Below are 24,442 nucleotides of genomic sequence, written 5' to 3' on the forward strand. Positions count from 1 at the left end.
AGCTTCCATTGATACAGAAATGTCTTTCTTTAACTTTCTATGTATTTATTTTTTGAGACAGAGTCTCGCTATGGTTGCCCAGGTGGGAGTGAGGTGGTGTCATCTCAGCTCATTGCAACCTCCACCTCCCAGGTTCAAGTGATTCTCCTGCCTCGGGAGGCTGCCTCAGCCTCCCAAGTAGCTGGGATGACAGTTGCAAGCCACCAGGCCTGGCTAATTTTTGTATTTTTAGTAGAGACAGCGTTTTACCATGTTGCCCAGGCTGGTCTTGAACTCCTGACCTTAGGTGATCCACCTACCTTGGCCTCCCAAAGTGTTGGAATTACAGGTGTGAACCACCGCACCCGGCCTCTTTCTTTAACTTTCATTCTTGAAGCATGTTTTCCCCATGCACAGTGTGTTACTAGGTTGGCAGCTGATTTTCTTCTGTCCTTTGTAGATACATACCATTGCATTGTTTGCTGCCTTCTGTTTTTTTTTTTTTTTTTTTTTTTGGTTTTTGGGGTTTTTTTGTGTGGAACATTAGCTGTCAATCTATTGCTCACTTGAAGGTACTTGAATTTTTTTTCTCTGGCTGCTTTTAAGATTTTCTTTTTGTCTTTTTTTTTTTTTTTGCAGTTTTATGATGATATGTCTAGGTGTGCATTTCTTTATATTTATCTTTCCTGGGGCTTATAGAACTTCTTGATACTGTAGATAAATAATTAAACAATTAATCATTCTTTTGCTTAACAGATATTTACTGAGCGCATACCCCAGATCTTGGAGTCTAGTGGTGGGAGAAGACAGGAAATAGTTGATCTCAGCATGAACGATCAATGTGGCCCTGGTGGCAAGTGCATGTGCTTTGGGAGCACATCCTGTTGGGGTTGCTGTTGAAACCAAGTCCTGAAGGACAAGTAGAGGATCAGCAGGCAAAGCGTGTGAGAAGGCTGGAGAGAGTGTTTCCATATGTGGGTCTCCATCTGTAAAGCTCCAGGAGATGAGGGCATGAAGGGCATGTGGAACTGCAAGGAGGCCAGTGTGTCTGAAACATGGTGCAGGACAGCGGGATCTGTGGAGGACAGGGCCAGAGATAAAGCCCGTTTTTCCAGGGCCCATCTCCAGCCGCTGCATTTCTTTCGAGCTTTAGACAGACTATCTGCTTCCCATATGACATTTTTTCCAGGATGATTCAAGCCACTTCAAACTCAACTTGTCTGGAGCTGACTCATCCTTCTCAAATCTCAGCCTCCTCCAGAATCCCCGCCCCTGACTCAGTTGCACTCCTAGAAAACTGGACAGTGTTCCCTGCAGGCCTGGCAGCCCTGCAAGGAGGGAATGACTTGAGAAGAGTTTTTGCTTCAGAAAGCTCACCCTTGACTGCAGTGTGGAGCAAGGATTGGAGGGATGAACTGGAAGCAGGGGCCCCTGCGAGGGGAATGTTACTCTAGTGCAGGTGGAGAGGATACGGGCCCATCCACACTGGCAGCAGCAGAGTGGTGGGAGAGTGGAAAGGGGTGAGCAGCAGAAAGGAAGTCGACTTGGTGAGATTTGGTGACTGATGGGAGGGGAGGCAGACTGTGGGTTTGAAGCACTGGGCCAATGGCAGACTCATGTAGGAGTGAGAGGGGCCCTAGGACGGCAGTTGGTCAGGGTGGCTTTGGGCTTGTTGAACTGAAGTGGTGCCCAGGAGGAAGCTGAGCTGCAGCTCTTAGTTTCAGGCGAAAAATCAGCCCTGCAGACACAGGGCCGGGATTTGTTACCCAATCTGTTGTAAAGTGCTTCCTTCACAGTATGCCTTTGCTCTGAATAACTCTAACCCCACAGACTTACTCAAGTGTCACTTTACAAACTCTGACACAGTGAAAAAAAAGTCTCTCTTTTTTTCTCCTACCCCCATTTTCATGCAGGAAATAACAACAAAGACCCAGGTCAGAGATGAGTCTTTGTAGAGCTTCCCAAAGTGATTTGAGGCTGGGAGGCTATAGTCAGTGGAATATAGAATTTGTGCAAAAGCTGGAGAAGGCTGACAGTGGCGGTCAGGGAAATCTAAATTGGCCCCAGCTGACAACCTCATCCCAAGCTTGGTGGGGCCCCACCCCCTGCTGAGAGAGCCACCCATTCAGGCCCCTGGGCTTTGTAAATAGTTTCTGTTTAGTTTTCAGCTCACAAGAAGCAAGCACATAAAAGAGTTAGTCATCGGGCCGATTCAGCAGGGCACACATTAGCTAGATATTGACCTGGGCTCCTTTCACACCAGGTGAGTGATGTGTTGAATGTTGGAGCTGGGTAGAATCTAGCCTGAAAGTCTATATTAACTTTGCAGGGATTATAAAAGAGAAACTGAGGTTGCCTAAATGGGAACTATTTTCATGTGTTCAGATGGGTTGACCTGTGTGAGTACCCCAGGCTAAAGTAGCCAAATAGGAGAAGACACTGTGAGACTCACCCTGGTCTGTTTCAGCCGAATGAACTGAGGTGGGCAGAGAAGTTTATTTTTGAAATGGCCAAAGTCTCTTCCTGATTTGGTTGATCCAGCTGGGGCAACTCCTCACACATCCGAGGCTCTGGCTCTGCAGGGTAGCTCGGGGTGCTTGGCTGATGTTTGAGTTAGGGGAGAGCTTTCACATCTGTAGGGTGACAGAAGCCCTTATCACAGCATGATGCAAGCCACTGCTAGGAAGACACCCTTGGGGGCCAGCCATGCTCTGGGGAAACCAGCAAGTCACTTTGAGTTCACAAAGAGTTGGCTTTATCCAAAGGTCATGCCAAGGGATACTCTTCATGTTCCTGGAGTCTCCCGAGGCACGCCCTCCTGCCCGGGCATTTGTTCTCCACGGTCCCTGGGGAAAGCACCAGCTTTCACATACTCCAAGTCCTCCACCTTGTGACATCGAAAGAGGTATCAACAGTTTAAATCTGTGCACTGAGCATGTGAAAAATTCCATTTCCCACCCGCCACAAATTGTCTAAAAGACAGACTGATTTTATGACAAGAGTGTTTCTCTTCTCTATTGTTTACTTTCTTTAGTTCCTGATTCTTCATTTTCACACATTTTTATGTGGCCTGATACATAAATTCAACTTAACAGCAGCCATTGTGTTTAGGAAGCCCAGAGAATTCTTATTTTCCAACTGTTCACCAGCATTCTCTACTTGTGGAAAGTAAAACCCTTAGAGCCCAATGTGACTTATGCGCGGATATTTTTCAGATAATGGAGTAGCTACAAATAACCGATTTTCCTGTTTCTCCGAGCCTCTCCCTGACAGATAATGAAGTCATAAAGGGCATCATGATTTCAGTGCCGATACTGGAACCTCGTGTTCAGATTCAAACTCGCTTTGTTCTTGACTGTGTGACTGAAAGCTGGAAAATAAGCTGTGACTCAAATTTTTGTCTGGATAATTTATATTGTAATTAGTTAACTAATTAATTAATTTATGAACAAGTTGTGGGTTGTTAGATTTAAATGGACACAACTGAGTGTAAGTTCTAACTTTTCCTTGTGAGACGGGACCCCTGGCTTCAGTTTCTGTGCAAAATAAAAATCGAGCTATGTGATTTTTAAAGTGCATTCCAGCTCTGTTTTTTCCCAGGTCTGTGATTGGAAAATATCCCTGACTCACAGCCCTTGCTTCCCGGTGCCCTGGCTCTCACCCTCACGTTGGCCCAGCACTTAGGGCTCCCCTCCCTGGCCTCTGCCCAGCTATGCGACTTGGCGCCCTCTTCCCTTTATAACACTGGTGCCCTCTCCCAAGTCCAATTGTGAAAAATTCTGAGACTAGGTTACCCTATGCTATGTTCCTGCTACCCCTCCTCCTGAAGCCTGCTCCCTCCCTTCCCCCATGCAGCCAGCACGGGAAAAAACACTTAGAGTAGATCGAGTTTATCCCCCACGTTCCCTCACCCCGCCCACATGCCCTCATCCCCTCTCCTGCCACCAGCAACCTCCCTCCTGAGAGCCCCAAGTCAGCATTCTCGTTCTGCGCAGACCGTCTTGTGAAAGCAGAAAGCCACCTGATGAGCAAGTTCACATGGACATGCCAATGACAGTGCAGTCTCCTTCTTGGGAGGATTGCCCATCTATTGGGTGTTTTGTATGTGCCAGGTGCACTTTTACTCCTCTTTCAACGATGTGATGAGGTCATTATTATCATCCTCATCTATAGTGCATGCTATAGAAGCCCTGAGCAGCCCTCGCAGGGCCTGCCATGTGAATTACCTTGCCAGTGACTGGAATCTGCTTTAAGAAGATAGAGCTGGTGGACAGGCGTGGTGGCTCATGCCTGTAAACCCAGCACTTTGGAAGGCCGAGGCAGGCAGATGACCTGAGGCCAGGAGTTCAAGACCAGCCTGGCCAACATGATGAAACCCTATCTCTACTAAAAATTAAAAAAAATAATAAAAAAAATATTAGCCGGGCATGGTGGCAGGCACCTGTAATCCCAGCTACTCTGGAGGCTGAGGCAGGAGAATCCCTTGAATCTGGGAGGTGGAGGCTGCAGTGAGCCGAGATCGTGCCATTGCACTCCAGCCTGGGCAACAAAACTCTGTCTCAAAAAAAAAAAAAAAAAAAGAGAGAGAATATAGAGCTGGGGCACAGATGTTCACACAAGGTGATTACTGGAGCCAGTGGTCCTTTGGCCTTGAGACTACGGATCCCTGATGCTGTCATGGAGGGAGGCAGAGGTGCCTTCCCTGGCCCTCTTCTTGCCAGTGCCATTTGGCTCAGTTCTACAGACAAGTAGCATGAAGACCAGCTGGCTGCATGGCTGCCTCTGTGTACCCTGCATGGTCATCAGGCCACTCTGGGCTGCTCCCACCACAAATCATTCTCCTTCCACTCTGGCGTCTCTCCAGGGTGAGTCCTCACATTATTGCATGTTATTTTTGGTGGAACGGGAAGGGAATGTCACTAGCTTTGCTAAGGTTCATTATGTTAATATTGTAATTTCCCTCAGGAAAATGAAGAAGAAAAACATCTAGATGCCAGGCACTTATTGACTTCCAAGAACAAAACCTAAATATTCACTGCAGAATCTAAAAACATGTGAATCCTAAACAGCAGACTGCCAAAACCAAGCATGTTTGCTGATGTTGATTGTGAATGTGTGTCAGGAGTGGATATTTAGGCATAAATTTCAGGCTGTCTCTCTCCTTTTATTTTAGATCTAGGCACAGAGGTCACTCTGAGCTTCCATTTGGACAGCTGCCTGTTCGTGGGAAGATCACCAAGCTCTTAACCCAGGAAGGGATGCTGTGCTGCATATTGGCGTTGTTGTGAGGTCAAGAGAGATTTCATCCCTGCTGTCCTTCCTCAGATGGGTCATTATGTCTGGATTCAGGAAGAGAATATGCAAATGTTGAGTCTGTGCCTCTTAACAAACTCATCCTGCATGAAAAATCATTATTTACTTCATTTTGTGCCTTTTTTTTTTTTGTCTCACTCTGTCACCCAGTCTGGAGTGTAGTGGTATCATCTTGGTTCACTGCAACCTCCACCTCCCAGATTCAAGTGATTCTCTTGCTTCAGCCTCCCAAGTAGCTGGGATTACAAGCGTGCACCACCACACCTGGCTAAATTTTGTATTTTTAGTAGAGATGGGGTTTCACAATGTTGCCCAAGCTTGTCTCAAGCTCCTGACTTCAAGTGATCCACCTGCCTCGGCCTCCCAAAGTGTTGGGATTACAGGCATGAGACACTGCCCAACTCATTTTGTGACAATTTTTAATGATGACTTGGTATTTAGATCAAAAGATCCAACCTGAGCAATAAGTTTGAGAGAAACAAAAGTAACTTGGAAACATTGGAAATTCCTATTCAAAGCTTTCATGTTACTGGACCACTTGCTTTAACTGGTGAGGCACAGATAGTCTGTCTTTGCATCCCACTTCTTGCAATGAACATTGAGATTAAGTATGTCTGCTCAAGGCATTTTGCATTCAGGTCCTATCGAAATAAGGGAAGGGAATAAAAAGGAAAGGGAGACTGACATAATGTTGTCTGATCTCTGGCATCTCAGTAGGAATCGAAATGTGCTCAAGTCAATTAGGTTATGCTCTTAGATGTCTTCATGCTCATTAACAACACAAGGAGCCCTTGACTAAAATGACACTAACCACATGCAAGTAAGGTGTGATCAGACAGACCCAGGCCACAAACAGTTCTGCACATTCCAACTGTTCCATTCATTGCCCTTTCGGGAGGGAATCTGAGAGCTATGCTTGATGAGGAAAAGCCCTTCTCTGGTAGTTTGCTGGTTCCCTAGTGGTCACCTCATCCCTGCCACATGCACAGACACACTGAGCACCCATTTGCAAGGCATTGCTTACGAATTGATCAAGGGTCAGAGATGAAGTGGAGGGAGGCAGTATTTTCAGTGGACGTAAGCCCTGAGCCCATGTGCTGATGCCCAGGGGCATGTGTTGGGCACTCAGGGTATGTGTAAGCATCTGCCAGCCTTGGACAGGGAAGGAGAACCATTCCGAGTGTGCACTGTCTGGGATCACACAGAAGGACCTCCCAAGCCTGGCTGTGACAGTCACTTTTCCAGCTATTGTTCATCTGCTCAGACACAGGCCTGGCCTGACAAGGACAGGGGTCAGGAGAGAACACTTCAGCAAGGAAGGAAGGAGGGCTCTGAAGTCAGTGTGAGACTCTTCCATTTGGAGTGTCATCCAAAGGGCTCTCCCAAGCCCTGGGGCCTGAGACCTGGGGACGGACAAAGAGGCCAGCACATGGAATGCTTGCAAGCAACAGGCAGCTTGAAGTAATTAGGCATGAATGAAATCACAGCAGGTCTTGCAGTTGATACCTGAGTGCTCCATTGGCAACTGAAGTCATAAAAGTCCACTGAAGAGAGGCCAGAAAATAATGTTAGAAAAGCCAAAAGGAATAAGAAAACGTTTTGAAGAGGAGTTTTTTTGAAAAGGTGCCTTGACGAGTATGGCGGGATAATGGGCAATCCAGTTGCCTGTGTGGATCCTTCAAATGCAAGTTGCAAGCAAATCTGCTCCTAGTTAGTGTCACCCCTGGGACACAGCATATCGCGGGTGATTGCCATAGGCTAGTGTTTCTGAAGCCTTTGACCATGACTTACCCTAAGAAATACATATTACATCCTACCCTGGTATTATATTCACACACAAACACATCTGTTTATAAATGCATGCACACATTTCATAAATGCATACAACCTCAGTAAAAATTTCATGACATAGTGCTTGCCTTTTCTGCCTATTTTGCATGATATTTTCAACTCTATTGTATTCTATTCTGTTCCTCTTATTAATTCATTCAAACACTACAATTCAGTACTTTATCAAATTGATTTCAAATATTGGGGACATTGCCCACTAATGTTTTGAAATCATATAGTAGATGTTGAGTAGTGTATGTGTATCCTGGGTTGCAAAGCAAAATGCATTTCTTACTGTGAGTTTTAATCAAGTCGCTTCTCCTGCCCGCATCCTACAAAGCGAGGAGCCTGGATGCTCTTCCAGATGGGAAGTTCCCTGAAGGAGGCACTAGGCAGAGGAGAAGGAAAGACTCACAGCAGCAAGTGTTGAAAAAGATGAGCTCATGTTCATGCAGTGGGTCTGCATCTTCTCCATCTAAACAGTTGTTCAAAGAGTCAAGGAGTCAGCAAACTACATTCTGCAGACAGGATCTGGAGTGCTGCCTGTCTCGGTGTATGAAGCGGCATGGAACACAGCCCTGCCATCACCTTGCCTGTTGCCTGTGGCTGCTTTTGTGCTGCAGCCTCAGGGTTGAAGAGTGGCAACAGAGTCCAGGTGGCCTGCAAAGCTGGCAATATTTACTATCTAGCCCTCTGCAGAAAAAAATGTGCCACCCCCCCTCCCCCCATCAGTGCCTTAGGATGAGTGTCTGGAAACCATTCCCTGTAGCCCTTTCATAAATGCATCTCAGGCTGCAGACTGCTTTGTGGCACCTCTATTATCTCATCCTAGATGATTAGTTACCATAAATCGTCAATAAATTGCAATTTTGGGGACACAGCGGGCATTGCAGATAGAATCCCCCTCCTCAATTCCCACACACCTGATAAAAAGCTATTGGGGGAGCAACAGCCCATGCAAAATTCAGTGGCTTGTGCTTCAGGTTGGGTGATCTGGAAGCAGATGCTGAGATGGAGCTTGGAGTGCAAGATTAACTCCTGTGGAAAGAACGGTGAGGAAATGAGATTTGAGCAGAAGAAAAAGCTAAATGGCAATGTAGGCCTGAGGAAGCCTCAGCCCACTGGAGGGGGATCACCAGAGCCAGTGCTGACTGCCAGAGCCATCATGGGGCATCAGTTACAGCCCTTTCTTGCTCAGTCAGTGCTGTGGGCATGACCTCAGATGAGGCAGCTCTCTGCAGCCCAGGTGGACCCCAAAGCTGCCTGAAGACCGTCCTTCCTGCCATGGGGCAGCAAGTCCTTCCTTGAAGGCTGACCTGTGCCTCGGATGGCCTAGCATGGTCTACCTCTTGGCCACGTGCCACACTTCTCCATGCATCCCGGGGAGCAGCTCCAGCTCCTCCATGGTTAGGGTGCACTTTTCTTTCGAGGGGAAGCTTAGAGAGGGAGATTAGTGGGACACATTACACCCCTTTGCTGCAGTGAGTGTCCGGACTGAACTGGCAGTCCTAGCATAGTGCCATAGTTCCACTCTCAGTCCAGAGTCCCCTAATCCCTAGACACCACCCCTGCTGTCTTGGTGTCCTACCTGGTGGTGTGACTCAGACCCTCATTCCTGAAGTCCTGGTCGCTGTGATCTCCTTGAGCTGGGTTTGCTGCACATGCCCACGTATGGTCATGGTTAGGTAAGGGCACGCAGGAGGCGCCAACGTGAGTCCCCTGAAACCCACATGGACTCATGCCTGCCACTGTGTGTCATGGCAGCCCAGCCTCCCTCTGACAAACACAGAAAGGATGCTGGCTCCTTTCCTTGCACAGAAGGACCTCAGAGTGCCCAAGTGGCTGTTGTGCTATAACTCAATGAGGCCCTGGCTCTGCTCCCCGGGGGAAAAGTATGCCTTTTGGGGAACCAATGCCTCTGACCCTGCAGAGCCCAGTGTTGTGGGCCTGGGAAGCAAAAATTCCCCCAGTGAGTCACTGGGAGTGATAATCCCCCCTGGACGCCAGTAGAATCCCCTCAATATTGACAAATAAAAATGTCTCCAGACATTGCCAAGGTTACCTGCAGCTGAGAGCCACTGGCGTGTAGACCAGGAGTGTGTCTCATTTTGTGCTGTTTAGCTCATATGAGTTCTGCAGATTGTGAATGAATGAGATGGGGATTCATTCTGGAAACTGGATCTTGCTTGCCCACTTCTGGAATCTCATTTTGTGGCGTGATGATAGCATGATGGTAGCTGAAGAAGAAACAGCTCTCATGAGAATGGGAACCACAATCAAACAAAGCATCAGAGGCTTGGCCCTCTTTAAGTGCCTTTAGAGCGCGATGCCACTCCAAAAGGCCAGAAGCCTGTGGTGCACAGGGGCTTTTAGCCCCACTCTCCCTGAAGGCGCAGCATGCTGGCTGGCAGAGAAACAAAGCTTAGCATCTTCCTCAAGTTTCAAGATGTTGTCTTGATTTGGCCACTGTTACCCACATGGAAATTTCTGACAACTGGATTTTGGAAGTTCGATTTTCCACATTGGATGAGACAAGCTTTGAGATTTGGACTAGAATCAGAGGGAAGATTCTGTTAATTGCCCCTAAATTACCTGGGAGTTTTGAGATTCTGCAGACAGAAAATGTTCCATATACATATCCTGAGAAATCATTTCCATCTGAGGTGGTTTGGATCGACCGACTTTCCAAGAAGGGGATGATGTGTCTATTTCCAGTTGAGCCTTCCCAAGAAAGGGACAGAGCAATTGCAATACTCCATTACTTCCTTCAGGTTATTAGTTTTAGGCATGGTCCCTGATCCTTTCCAGGCCATTCTGAGACTATAAGAAAAACAACATTCGGAGTTTATGGACAGGAAGGCGCTGTACAACACACATATAGATTACTGCCAGGAGGCACCCTGCAAGGTGATGGGTGCCCGAGTCTACAGATTCGTGGGCCCCAGGGCTGCACAGACCTTTTTGTGCCACCTCCCAGTCTCTACAGTCTTGATTGCAAATGTTGAGTTTTGGAAGTGGCCAGGAACTTTGTTCCACTCTCTCTACGGAGCCATCAGCTCTTCCTTTTTGGCCTTTTCTGCGAGTCCCCAGTCAGCAGCAGCTGTGACTTGCCTGTGACTCTCTATGCAGACCCCACACACAGGAGCCCATACTGCCGGGGACTATAACCTGTCCTCTGTTTGTTGTTCTCTCTTGATTTTTATTTCATGCTTACTGGGTCCTTCAAGAACATCTTGGACACCACCATTAGCCCTGCACCAACAGAGCCCTCCTGCTTCAAGCTCTTTGACCTGTTCCTGCTCCGCGATGCCTCTTCCCACATCAGGGCCTTTATTCTCTTGCGTTCTCTGACTACATCTGCTCTCTCTGAGCTGCTTTGATTTGTCTCCGACTACGTGCTTTTCCAGCTCCATGTGCTTTTCCTCATACACTTAGAGACAAGACAACGCTTCCAGCCTTCCCTGTAGTTGGGTAGGCCGTGTTGCCAAGTTTGATCAATGTCCCACCACCTGCGGGCCTAAACTCTAAAAAGCTTCTAGAATGTGATCTTCTATGTTCTCTCTTTCCCTCTTTTGCTGGCTAAATGCAGAGGACCCAATGGAGGACTCTAAGAGGTGAAGATGGAAATGAGAAGTGGAAGGAGGGAACGTCCCTGGTCCCCAGATGCTTCTATGAGAGGAGCTACTCCAACCCACCCCCACCTCCTCCACTGACCCATATGGGAAAAAAATCAACTTTTATTGAGTCAAACTCCTAAGATCTGGTGGTTGTTTATTACAATAGGTCGGCTATCCTGATTCATGCCCTGTCCCTCCCCAGTGTCATCTGAGGCCACTGCTTACCTTTTCTCACTTACAGGCCCTGGATGGGCTTCCACGGGGTTCCCAGGCACTGAGGGAGCTCCATCCTCTATGCACTCACCTCTGCAGCACCTTCGGTTTTGCTTTGGTTTGACTGATTTCCTCAATGCCTATACATGAGAACTCTTCCTCCCCACATCTTTTTTTTACTGTGTACCACCAGTTTTGGCAACACACTTGTAGATTCCCATAGTATGCCCTACTCTGGAGCTTGTCTCCCTCCATCAGAATGTCTGCTGTGGCCCCAGCTTGCCTGCATGCCTCTCTGGCTATATTCTGTGGGGTTATCCGGGGCCTTCCTGCAACCTCCCCTGAACCCTGACATCGGCTGCCATGGGCATGGGCTGAGCTCCCAACTTCCAGCAACTCCTCCACCCAGGCACTCCACACGGACACTGCGCCACCCACTTCCTACAAACTCTCCAAGATCAATCAATGCTCACCCCTGTAGGGGACATCTGAACTGTAATAGGCAGCAAGGAGACTTCCCTGGAGGTGTTGACTCTCTCTGCATGGAAGGGTTGGAGAATGTGTAGAGGCGTGCTCTGAGTCTGTTTGTAGCCATGTGTGGTGCATCCACGTGGAAGCATGTTCTGTGTGCTGCATCCATGTGGAAGCATGTTCTCTGTGTACAGCATCCACGTGGAAGCACGTTATGTGTGTGCAGCATCCACGTGGAAGCACGTTATGTGTGTGCAGCATCCACGTGGAAGCGTGTTCTGTGTGCTTCATTCACGTGGAAGCGTGTTCTGTGTGCTGCATCCATGTGGAAGCCTGTTCTGTGTGTGCTGCATCCACGTGGAAGCATGTTCTGTGTGTGCTGCATCCACGTGGAAGCGTGTTCTCTGTGTGCTGCATCCACGTGGAAGCATGTTCTGCGTGTGCTGCATCCATGTGGAAGCGTGTTCTGTGTGCTGCATCCATGTGGAAGCATGTTCTGTGTGTGCTGCATCCACGTGGAAGCGTGTTCTCTGTGTGCTGCATCCACGTGGAAGCGTGTTCTGCGTGTGCTGCATCCATGTGGAAGCGTGTTCTGTGTGCTGCATCCATGTGGAAGCGCGTTCTCTGTGTGGGCCTTTTCAGCCACTCTCCTTCCTGGGCTGCCTCCTCCTCCTCCATCTGTGCTGAACTGCTCCTTTCATTACACTTCCTGTTCATTGTAACTCTGAGTCCTTAAAATTTTTACTTTTGGTCCTTAATTCAATTCAATTCTTTTTTACTCAAGCCTGCTGTTATGTCGGTGTGGTTCTAGGCATGGGAGAAGTCAGATGAGGACCCAGGCCCTGTCTTTGAGGAGCTCACCACCCGGTAGGAGGGAAAGAGACTGCCAGGAACCTGAAAGTCATGAGGACTGCAGAGAATTCAGCACTGGAAATATAAATGAAGCGCTATAAGAGAAACCAACAAAAACCCCAAACTACCAGGTGTTTGGCGTTCCCGAAGGGGTCTAGGTGCACTTGCCGGCTTCTGGCTGGATTTCTTTGAGGGCTATCTTATTACTGTCTCCTGATTATGATGATGGCTTGGTGTCTCTGTCCTTCATTAGGGGCTGGTTTTTCTTCCTCATTGCACTCTTCATGCTTCTCTTTATTCCAAGGCTGAGCTTTCTTAGGCATAACTGGGGTGAATGCTTTCATGAAACCACACTTCTTCATCAAGCTCCCAGGCCTGGGCATCCAAATCCTCTTGGGGGCTGTAAACCTGCTCACCTGCGGCTCACCTGTGGCTCATCCGTTCTGTTGTCTTCCAATACACTCAGCTCTGCATGGATAGGCTGCCTTTAGTGTATGGGCCTGCCCAGACCAGCACATGGGCATCTGTTTCCCAGGAAAAACCCAGCAGTGGCTGTGGTGGCTGGATGTGGGATTGGATGGGCACACAGAAAAACATAAAAACCATGGCAACAGTAATCATAATAGTAATTAATAGTCAGGATAATAATCATCTAGCTACGGTGGCAATGTACTTGAAAGACTATTCTTTGGGTGTATTTTTCTTAATGTCCTAGATGGAACAGGATGATTGGGCTTTTGAAGATATCAAAGAAACTTGAAAAGGACCAGACTGTAATCAACGTTGATTCCACTCACACTAATGACGACCTGGTTTCTAAACTTGGCAACATTAGACTTTCTGGACTTTTTTTTTTTTCTGAAGTGGTTGAAAGGAAACTGGAAGTGTGGAAAATGGAAGGATGAGGACAAACTGTAGGGCGCTGCCTCACTCCTGGACTCTATAATCCCATTCCTCCAGGTGGGGGCCACCTGCCCACTGCTGGCTCTGCCCTCCCCAGTTTTTAAGGATCCACACAGACTTTGCAAAGATTTTGAGATATGTTGGACATGAACTCTGGGTATGTGCACATCTGGTTCCAAGCTTATACTCCACTCTTCATAGCTCAGGTGTCTTCCTCACGGCAGGGGCCACCTTCCATCTTCACCACTACTATATCAAATGGGCTTCCATCTTCCCCTCTGAATTCCAGCCTCTCTCTGGAAACCTAACATTTTTTCTAGTCTCTTTTGCACTGAGATTCTGTCCCTTTTATTGCAGCAATGAGTTTACCCAGCCCTCCATCCCACACGAGTCCGGGCAGGACCCAGTCACCTGCTAAGACTCCCACACTGACTGTGTACGAGTTACTCCACCTGTCCCTGGATTCCCAGAGCCCTGCCTTAGTCGCCTGACAGGACAGAGTTGGGACATGAATTGGGCACCTGAATTAGCCCTGTTTGTGTCCAGGTCCTCTAGATGCTTGTGTAGACTTCCAAACTGACCGTGCAGCTGGGCCTGGGTTGCAGAGTCTGCGGGTCGGCTCTGGTGTATGCATTTCACATTATCTATAGTAGCAAAACTTCCAGTTTTTGATGGGACATGGCTGCCTAGAATAAAGATATTTCTTACCCCCCCCTTGCAGCTCCCATGTGTGCAGACATAATATGTGCAATTTTCAGATCATACTCTGCATCAGGGAACAGCAAACTTTTTCTGTTAAGGGCTGGATAGTAAATATTTTAAGTTTTGCAGGCCACATAGTCTCTGATGTAGGTCCTCCTCTTTAAGGAGCCATAGCAAATAACTAAATGAAAGCATGGTTGTTTGCCAATAAAACTTTATTTACAAAAAGAGTTTGTGGGTCAAATTTGGCTCATGGGCTTGTGGTTTGCCAACTCTTGTCCTAAACTAATATCCCAAGCAAAGCAGAGTAAGAGGACAGAAGGAACCCAGGTCCCTGGAAATTCCATTTCCGCTCTAGATGCTTCCAACCAGGATTTTATGAGAGGAAAATAAGTGTCTACCTTGCTTAAGCTACGGTTTCTATTTTTTTTTTTTCCTTGAGACAGGGTCTCACTCTGTCACCCAGGCTGCAGTGCAGTGGTGTGATCGTAGCTCACTGCAGCCTTAACTTCCCAGGCTCAAGGGATCCTCCCACCTCAGCCTCATGAGTAGCTGCGATTACAGGTGTGTGCCACCATGCCAGGCTAGTTTTTAAACTTTTTTTTTTTTACAGCGATGGAGGTTTCCCTATGTTGCCCAGGCTGGTCTCAAACCCCTAGGTTCAAGCAATCCTCCTGCTTTGGCTTCCCAACGTGCTGGGATTACAGGCATGAGCCACTGCATCCGGATCTGGCCAAGCTACTGTTTTTATTTTCTGGTTGTGGTAGATTAAGGATGGCTCCAAAGTTTTTGCTACTCCTCCCATTGAGAAGTTAAATCCAATTACGCTCTCCTCGAATCTACCTAAATGACTTGTTTGAGTGATAGAATGGGATAGAAGTGGTGTTCTGGAACTTCTGAGGTTAGACCACGGAAAGCTTTGCAGTATCCACCAGAATCTTGGGACACTCTCTTTTGGATCCCTGAGTTGTCCCTGAGTGTCATTACCCTGAGGCTGCCATGATGGAAGGGACTCCGGGGCACCCTGCTGGACAGTCCTGAGTGGGCCAGTCTCCCATCATCCCTGCCCAAAGCCACCCTGGACCCTCTAGACCAGTTAATCATTTCTGAGTGGCCTCCATGTGGGACAGAAAATATCATCCAAGCCCTTCCTGAATTTCTGACCCACAGAATTATGAGCTATAATGGAATAGTTGTTTTAAGCCACTAAGTTTTGGCCTCCTTCCTTTGGCTGCTCTTAACCTCTGCCTGGCCTGCCCTATTTCTCTTCCCTCCTGCTCCTCCCCGGCACATCTATTCCTGAGAAGCAACACATTTAAGGAGCTAGAGAATGATTTGTTTTCTAAGGTACAAAATGAAATACTGGTTCTATAAAGTCCTGATTATAGAGGGGATACAATTAAACTCTTCTCTAAGGAGAAGAAAAATGATGAAGGTTTAAGGCAGGATATCATTGCTTACTAAATAGTCCTTCAGTTTCTGATCTGTTCTTTTCAGCTCTAAAGTTCTATGTGACAGGATTTTGAAAAAGCACAGGCTTTGGGGTTACACATAGTTTTGGATACTGGCTCAATCCCTTAAGGGCCTGGGTGTTTTATTTGACTCCTCCAAGATTATTGGCTGTATGATTCAACTTAATCTCTAGGCACATCTCCTTAGTGCCTTAGTTTTAATAATGGAAATAATTTGCATATGATAATGTGTGGCAGATCAGTGCTGATCAAGCACAATCATGAATTCCTCTATCACTCAGAGTAGCTACCAGATCTGTCAGTCACGTGTGGTGACTGAATAGTTGAAATGTGGCTAGTCCAAATTAAAATGTGCTGTCAGTATAGAATACACACTGGGTTTTGAAGATTTAGTACCAAAAATGCAAAATAATTAATTTTAAAATATCGATTGGGGCCAGGCGTGGTGGCTCACGCCAGTAATCGCAGCACTTTGGGAGGCCGGAACAGGTGAATCACGAGGTCAGGAGTTCGAGACCAGCCTGACCAACATGGTGAAACCCCATCTCTACTAAAAATACAAAAATTAGCCGGGCGTGGTGCCAGGTGCCTGTGATCCCAGCTACTCAGGAGGCTGAGGCAGGAGGATCACTTGAACCTTGGAGGTGGAGGTTGCAATGAGCTGAGATCATTCCACTGCACTCCAGCCTGGGTGACAGAGCGAGACTCCATCTCAAAAAAAATATATATATATATTAAATATATATATATAAATAAAATATATATATAGATTGGATGACAAAATAATATTTGGATACATTTGAGTAAATACAATATATTAAGATTAATTTCACTCATTTCTTTTTACATTTTTTGGTGGCTACTTAAAAAGTTCAAAGTTAGTTACGTGGCTCACAGTTATGACTTGGATTACATTTCTGTTGAATAGTGAGTGTTGCTTAAGATCACTAGAAGCCAAGCTAGTTTTAGGACCTCTTTTGAGACAGGGCACCATTCTCTTGTCTATACATAATCTGAGAATCTATGTGTGGCAGTGGTCCCTAGTGCCCTCCCACATATCTTTCTCTTCCTCCAGACACACAGTAGGATGACAATTCCATGCTGTAGCCATAAGGCTAGTTTAAATCAATGGGGTTATGAGAGGAAGTAAGTGGGTTACTTCTGAGCCAAGCATTTAATTAATGCGAGACCTGTTGCCACTCTTGCATTCTCTGCTGTGTTGACTGCAGAGCAGCAGCCTCTCAGCCTGGAGGACTGAGTCACTGCGTGGAGGGGAGATGCCCTGGAGAGTTACCTGGATCTATAGCAGAATTTGCATGGAGGAAAACAAACTATTTTTGTGTTAAGCCATTGAGGTTTGGGGTTTGTTGCAACAGCATAAGCCATCCTCCCCTGACTAATGAATGTATTTTCTGATTAACAAAATAAAATGATCACTTTTTTTTCGTGTTTTACTCTATACTCTGATGAATTTTGAAAAAGCAGGTTTAAAACAGATTTTTGATGGCTTGTCATAGTCTAGGGAAGATGAGCTTGGCTAAAAACTAGAAATCTATGGAAAGTGTTTGAAAAAAATGAGAGATACCATTAACTGTTTAACAAAAATCAAATAGTACAATCTAAGTCCATCTCATCTTTTCTTGGACATTAATAGGGTAACAGAAAATTTACAGAGCTGATTGGGTTGTATTCCAACATGTGATCCCCCCAAGTAAGCAGTTTACAAGCGGTATGAAAAATGTTAAGAAAATCAGAATGTCTAGGGATATTGCAGATTCTTTCCTTGGAAATAGTGTTGGCATCTCTAGGCTAAAGATGTAATTGGCTTTCTGTGTAGGTATCACTTTCTAGAGTCATTAGACGCCAATTTCGAACAAAGTAAATCTGTTATAATCCTCCTAATGGATTTTGCTTTGTCTCTTCCCACCCATTTAGAAAATTTACTTGGAATTTCTTGTATACTTTGGAGTTAGAGCCAAGGGGTAAGATGTGAGTTTAACATGTAATTCTTCCTACTCCATTTCCTTACCACATTTCCTTCCAAAGAAGAATGCTGCCACCAGGTGCTCCTCAAAGACAAGGGAGGTGGGCCTGTAGCTTTTTCTGAGTGGAGGGAAGAAGCCAGGCTATTCTGGGTATGAAATGTGTGCTGTTATGTCTCCACACTGAGGAGGATTGCACAGGAACTGGGTTAAGATACCAACCCAAATTCAATTGTTTGCAAACACAAAGCCATGATTAGAAAGCATATCATCACAGTACGTCAGTGGTGCCATCGTTAGGAATACAACAGCGCTAGAAATGTGCAAAAGTCATAACTGCATTTTCTGATTGTGTGTGCGATGGCATAGCAATCAAATGAAGATGTAAAAGCTTTTATTGTTTTTAAGAAGCATGAAGTCAAGTAGGCTGTTTCCAATAGGAGGACTGAAAAACCAGGCAAACATGAATTTTGTTCACAGTGTCTTTTTTGAGAAAAGAGTATGGTTGTCTGCCTCAGAAATCTCCTGGTCTTTTGTTAGTTAAGTCAGCATAACCAGTATTGGGAGGTGTGGCCTTTGGAGATGGTTAGGCCATGAGGGCTCTTCCTTCATAAATGGCATTACGTATCCTCATAAAAGGGATTGACCGAGAGAATTTGTCCCTCTTGCCCTTCTGCCCTCTGTCATTTGAAGGTAGGGTGTTTCTTCCCTCCAGAAGATATAGCCCTCACCAGACACTGAAACTGCTGGCACCTTGATTTTGGACTTCCCAGCCTCCAGAACCTTGAGAGATAAATGCCTGTTGTTTATAAATTACCCAGTCTCAAGTACTTTGTTATAGTAGCACAAAACAGACTAAGACAATTAGTTACTGCATTATATTATTATCTCTTTATATGGGTTGATGGCTTACTGTCATAACTAGTTTGGAAGAGACTTACGACTGGAAGTATTATTTATATATTTTTATTTCCTTTTTGCATTTCAACACCAACTCTCTGACACCAACTGGCTATCTTACAATTCAGGTCAACTCTGATACTAACTGCCTAGACTTAGCATTAGATCTACAGGTTGAAGGGCAAAGGCCCCCAAAAGAGTGTCTTTACTTTATGTTCCATCTCCAAGTGGGGCCCCCAGGCTACCCAAACTTCTGTCTAACTCGGCTACAAATTGGTGAATTCTCACAACTCATCTCCCCCCAAATTTAGATAATTTGCTAGAATGACTTACAGAACTCAGGAAAGGGCTATCTTTATGGTTGCCATTTTATCGTATAGAGTTCAAAGGAACAACAAAATGAAGAGGTGCAGAGGGCAGCAAGGTCTGGGAGCCTGAGCCCCTCTGTTCTGTGCAGCACTATCCTCCCGGTACATTGAGGTGTTTACCACCCAGAAGCTCAGCTGAGACTTGATGTCCAGAGTCATTATCAAGGTTTTCTTACATAGGCATGATTGATTAGACTATTGGCTGTATGATTGAACTTAATCTCCAGCCCTCCCATCCTCTGCAGAAGTCAGAGGGCGGGGCATGCTTAGTCTTTCCGGCATGGTCAGTCCCTCCCTTGGAATTATCTAAGGGCTCACCCTGAGTCACCCCCTCATTAGTATAAACTCAGACATGGGCTTGGCGTGGTGACTTATGCCTGTAATCCCAGAACTTTGGGAGGCCGAGACGGGTGGATTACCTGAGGCCAGGAGTTTGAGACCAGCCTGGCCAACATAATGAAACCCTGTCTCTACTAAAAATACAAAAAAAAAAAAAAAAAAAAAAAAATTAGCCAGGCGTGGTGACATGTACATGTGCCTGTAGTCCCAGCTACTCGGGAGGCTGAGACAGGAGAATCACTTGAACCCAGGAGGTGGAGTTTGCAGTGAGCCGAGATCATACCATTGCACTCCAGCCTGGGCAACAAGAGCAAGACTCCATCTCAAAAAAACCCCCCAAAACCAAAAATAAAAACAAAAAAATCTCAGACATGCCTGAAAGGGCTCATTATGAATAACAAAAGAGACTTTTATCAGGAAATTCCAAGGGTTTTGAAGCTCCAGGCCACAATCTAAGGGAAAAGACCAGGTATATTCTTTGATATATTACACCTTTGCACCTTGAATAGGATCTGGGGTAAAACACATTCAAATGCCTGATGTTACTGTGTGATGGGCAGATATGGACTATTGCAGCTTGCATATAAAATCATCATTATTATTATTTTTGCAAATAAATGTTTAGAGGTGACAGATTTAGTCTCTTCACAAAAAGACCGGAGAATGGATATACACTAACAGAGAGAAGAAGGGTTATCTGTTCCTCAAGGAAATGGTCTTACCTTATTAGTGTCTCAGGACTGTGTATGAAAATGATGGAATTATTTTGATTATTCAGATAGACGGAGAGCAAGAAGTGCAAGGGGGGGGCCTCTCCTTTTTCTTTCCCCCTCTACACCTGAGCACTCTACTTCGGGGCCCAGCAACCACATCCATGTTGCAGGCCCACTTTGGAATTCTTCCTCTGGGGGTGATATTGGTGTGAATAATCTCCATTTGTATCAGTGTAATAATATGAACTAACCAAGGACAAATTTATAGTGCTTATTAATGTTTCCATTTTCCCCACTATAATGTAAACAGAAATTTAATGATTGGAAAATTAGGTCAAATGTTGACTGAATCTCTCATCAAATACCACAATGATCAGTGAACAGTAACTGTTTTTAATAATTTTAATATTACAGTGACACAAAGGTATTTAAGACATCAATCCTTTAAGAAATTTCTCAAAAGATAGCCAACAATCACTGTGTGGATTTCCTGTCTGTCTGTTCATCTTTAATCCCTCCCCCTTTCTATTTCCTTCATTTGTTTGATGCCCTTTAAAGCAGCAGTAACACAGACACTCTTTTTCATTTATTGCCCAGGTCTCTTGGAAAAGCCTGCTGGTGGTCTCACTGGGGATAGGACAGTATCACACCGGATGCCTCCAGTTCTCGTGGAGGGGCTGTTCTGCAGCTGTGGGCCAGGACGGCCATAGAGTCAATGAGGAAAAACACCTGGATGGTCACCCAGGTGAGCTCTCACCAACCAGCTCATAATCAGATCTGTTAACTTTTAAAACATCAGGAGATCTTTATACATTTGGAGAAAGAGACTTTGTTAGTTCTAAAGGGTTACAGCCTGCAAGGTGGCCATTCCATGGGCTGGGAAGTGTAGCCGTCTACAAAGACCAGAGCACTTGGATGGAGGAGGGGTGCGAGTTGGAGCTTTATGCTGGACAGGTTGTCTAAATATACCCATTCAACAGATTACAGGAAGAGCTGTGAATGTTCATGAAGGTAGTTCTGAGACCTGCATATTGAACAAGCGTGTATGTAACATATGACCCATGTTCACTTTGGGGTGGAGACTTAACATTTAAATGTGTTACAATTAGGTCCTATATGTCAAAAGGTCTTTTCAGGACATGAAGGCATGCAAGTGTGCAGCCTCTGTAAACCGGCCAGAATGAGGGCATGGTCAGTGGTCTTAACTGGAGAAGGTTACTGAAATCAGTGTCTTGTCCAATCAAAGCTGTAGTGATGGCTGGTGGAACAAGGGGTCAGTTAGTCAGTGTCTGTTGGTGAGCTACAACTGTTAGAATTTTTTTGTTTTTTTTTTTTTTGAGATGGAGTCTTGCTCTGTCGCCCAGACTGGAGTGCAGTGGTACCATCTTGGCTCACTGCAACCTCCGCCTCCTGGGTTCAAGCGATTCTCCTGCCTCAGCCTCTCGAGTAGCTGGGATTATAGGCTCTCACCACCACACCCAGCAAATTTTTGTATTTTTAGTGGAGACGGGGTTTCGCCATATTGGCCAGGCTGGTCTAGAATTCCTGACCTCAGGTGATCAGCCTGCCTTGGCCTCCCAAAGTGCTAGGATTACAGGCGTGAGCCACCGTGCTGGGCCCTGTTAAAATATTACTTATCTCTCTATGCGAGTGCTTTTTCAGCTTCGAGAGAAAAAGAAAACCCTTGTGGAATTTAGAACACACTTTGTTCTTGAAGTGTAGGGTTGTGTGACTCCACCCTTGCCTGGCACGGCCTTCGGTCCTCTTTGGAATGTGGTATCTCATTGCCACAAAGGGTCCCTTGTGTCTGTCTTATGATCTTGACTTTAACATTCATGCTGGTCAGTTGTTGTGTCTAAACCACTAGAGGGAAGGGTATAATGAGACGCGTCTGACCTCCCGTCCTGTCATGGCCGGGAACTTAGTTTTAAGGTTTTTCCAGGGTCCCCAGGCAAAGAGGGGTCCATTCAGGTGATGGGGGAGCTTAGGAATTTATTTTTAGTTTACATACCTAAACTTGAAAAAGGAAACTTTTAAGAGGAAATACAAATGAAAATTAAACTCCCCCCATACAAATGGTCTACCACAGACCATTACTCCTGGGTCAGAGAGCTGAAAACTCACTTTGAAAGGGTTTATAAACTGATAAAACAGAGGTGAAAAGTACAGTTATAAAATGATCACGGGGCTAGCCTGCTGCCGACCTGCTGGGGTCCTGTCTAGAACACCAAAAGCCTGCATGGCAGTGATCAGCTGACTGAGGAGTGAGTCCCTGAGAAATGCTTCTGGGGAGCCTTGGGCCTGTGCTCCCCTCTTTCTGCCAGCTGCTTTCCCATGTGAACTGATAGAGATTTTCAAATCACTTGGTTCTGTTCTCTTTTCTTCCCAGTGCCCAGAGTAGTGGGTAGCTCACCCCCCAGTGGGTCTACCCCAGCAACAACCCCAGTGGCCACCCATCGTTGCTAGTCTGGAGCTTGCGGTGACCCTCATCCTGGTGCGGTTCTGAGGTCCTTGGGGAGGGGGGAGTCCCCTGGGGGAAATGCCTAGAAGCTTCCTACAAAGGTCTGGAATGGTCGGTGCAGCAAGGGAGGAGAGGGCTACTGGAAAACTCACAGGGCCTTAATTCAATTTTGAATCCTATAAATCACACAACACTTGTGATTTTTAAACACTATATTTTGTTACACTTTTACTTATTAAATTATCTATTGATATATTTTTCCTCAAAGCCTCTGAGAAGACTTTGCACAAGCTGCTGAGGACACTAAGGCTGGAGACATGGGACATGGATGCCCTGTGATCAATTAAGTTGGTTAACGTCACCAGCGTAGATGATGTCAACGCTTCACCCTCTGGAGGCCCCAGAAAGCAGCTTTCCTTCACACGCCGCCGGACTGTCCACTGATGGAGGCGGATGGATGCTCTTGGCCGCATTTCTCGGCACTCAGGTTGTGACTGTCCCAGGCTTCCTGTTAAATGCATTCCTGGTCCGAATAGCTTCACCCACGTGCTCAGGGCAGCGGGTGGAGTGCCATCTCCACATTTTTCTGTAGGAAACCCTCCAAGGAGGTGCTGCCTCCTCCTTCGGGCAGTGAAAACTCCTCAGCAAACTGGGACATAGGTGCCAGATGTTCATCAGGACTACCCTGGAAAGAAGTCCAGGCCATCCAGATCAGGGAGGCTGGGTCTGAAGCTGGGTCTGCCAAGGCCTGGTTTCTGTCCAAGCCTCACTAGGGGAGGGACTTATGGTGCAAACTCCCCATTCCCTCTGGTGTGTGCGTTGCAGCCGTGATGCTGTTTGCCTCAACTTATGGGTCTTCTCTGGGCCCAGATTGAACCTTCCTATCTGTTTCCACTAGCTTTGTATGCCATATGGCATTTTACAGCCCCATACTATGTAGGTAACAGAAACAACAGCACTTGCAAACTACATATATTTCAAAAAACAACTAGGTCTTTTGATTAAATTATAAGCTTTAATTATATTCTAACTAATTAGAACATGTTTAACATAGACCTCTCCCATACCTGAAAAACTGAATGAAAAGAAACTTACAAATGAACCCTCTGTAGGATTACCATTAGGTTAAAAAGATAACTAAAAAATATACTATTTTAGGCCAAGTGTGATGGCTCACACCTGTAATCCCAGTGCTTTGGAAGGCTGAGGCAGGAAGACTGCTTGAGGCCAGGAATTTGAGACCGGCCTGGACAAGACAGTGAGACTCTGTTTCTAAAAAATAAAAATAAAAAAATTAGTTGAGCATGGGGAAGGGTACCTGTTGTTCTAGATACTCTGGAGACTGAGTCCGGAGGATCACTTGAGCCCAGTAGTGCAAGGTTGCAGTAAGCTATCATGGTTAACACTGCACTCCAGCCTGAGTGAAAGAGTGAGACGCTGTCTCTAAAATAAACACTATTTTAAAATTGCAACATTCTCTTAGTCCCTTCATCGTTTCATGGTTTTCCCTCTAGCAATTATATCATCTTCTGACCTTCATATTCCCTATAGGCAAGTTTTTCTAAACTTTTCCTTTATATGCTGTGTAAGGCCTGTTCCTCTTTCCCTACAACAGTGACCTGGAGTAGGCAACTACTTTTATCCTTTTTAAAAGACTGATTCAAGCCATTCTTGTATTTCTGCATCAACTGCAACATTTTAACAACCTATTCAGGTTTCTCCTACTGCTGAACTCAATTTGCCAGTATTTTGAGTCTTCTGCATAGTTTCATAAATGAAATTGGACTGTAATTTTTTGCATTGTACTTCCCTGTAAAGTCACTGAGGGTCTGGTGTCTTTTGGGGGCAATATTTTTTTTTTTCTAGAACAGTTTTTGTAATAGTTATGTGTTCTCTTGGGTTTTCTGTATCTTCTTGAATAAACTTTACATTGATGTTTTAACTTAAATTTATGTATAACTTTATATTTTTTAGAAAAGTATCCATTCCAATTTTTTAAGTTTGTTGGCAGAAAGTGATTTATGGTGTCTTCTTGTGATTTTGAAAATCTTTAAGGTATCCATGTTTACATTGCTGATATCAGTTGTGTTTTTTTCTCTTTGTCTCAGTGGGTCTGACTAGTTATTTATTCTATTTAGCGTTTTCAAAGGATCAGCTTTTGTTTCTGTTGATCTTCTCTATTAAATCTTTGTTTCCTAGTTCATCAATACCTGCTCCTATCTTTATTATTTACCTCCTATATCTTCTTTTAGATTTACTTTTCTTTTTGTTCAAGCTTTTTGAATTGAGCAGTTAATTTGTTGATATAAATGCACTCATTTTGCTTT

General features: G+C 45.5%; 1 long non-coding RNA gene across 1 annotated transcript, besides 2 other annotated features; it reads left to right on the top strand.

Moving 5' to 3' along the window:
* Nucleotides 1,480-1,979: an enhancer, noted in NCBI's record as "H3K4me1 hESC enhancer chr18:10140481-10140980 (GRCh37/hg19 assembly coordinates)". NCBI's record gives its function as "activates a minimal SCP1, AML or CMV promoter by ChIP-STARR-seq in primed H9 embryonic stem cells {active_cell/tissue: H9 hESC(primed)}" and the evidence as "EXISTENCE:reporter gene assay evidence [ECO:0000049][PMID:30033119]".
* Nucleotides 11,454-11,955: an enhancer, noted in NCBI's record as "OCT4-H3K4me1 hESC enhancer chr18:10150455-10150956 (GRCh37/hg19 assembly coordinates)". NCBI's record gives its function as "activates a minimal SCP1, AML or CMV promoter by ChIP-STARR-seq in primed H9 embryonic stem cells {active_cell/tissue: H9 hESC(primed)}" and the evidence as "EXISTENCE:reporter gene assay evidence [ECO:0000049][PMID:30033119]".
* LOC124904247 (uncharacterized) lies at nucleotides 20,167-24,063 on the top strand. The gene is made up of 2 exons (XR_007066286.1): nucleotides 20,167-20,399; nucleotides 22,384-24,063. It is a non-coding gene; the product is annotated as an uncharacterized LOC124904247 (long non-coding RNA).
* Nucleotides 24,064-24,442: the final 379 nt, after the last annotated feature.

This window comes from Homo sapiens, chromosome 18 (genome assembly GCF_000001405.40).
Source record: "Homo sapiens chromosome 18, GRCh38.p14 Primary Assembly".
Classification (NCBI taxonomy): domain Eukaryota; kingdom Metazoa; phylum Chordata; class Mammalia; order Primates; family Hominidae; genus Homo; species Homo sapiens.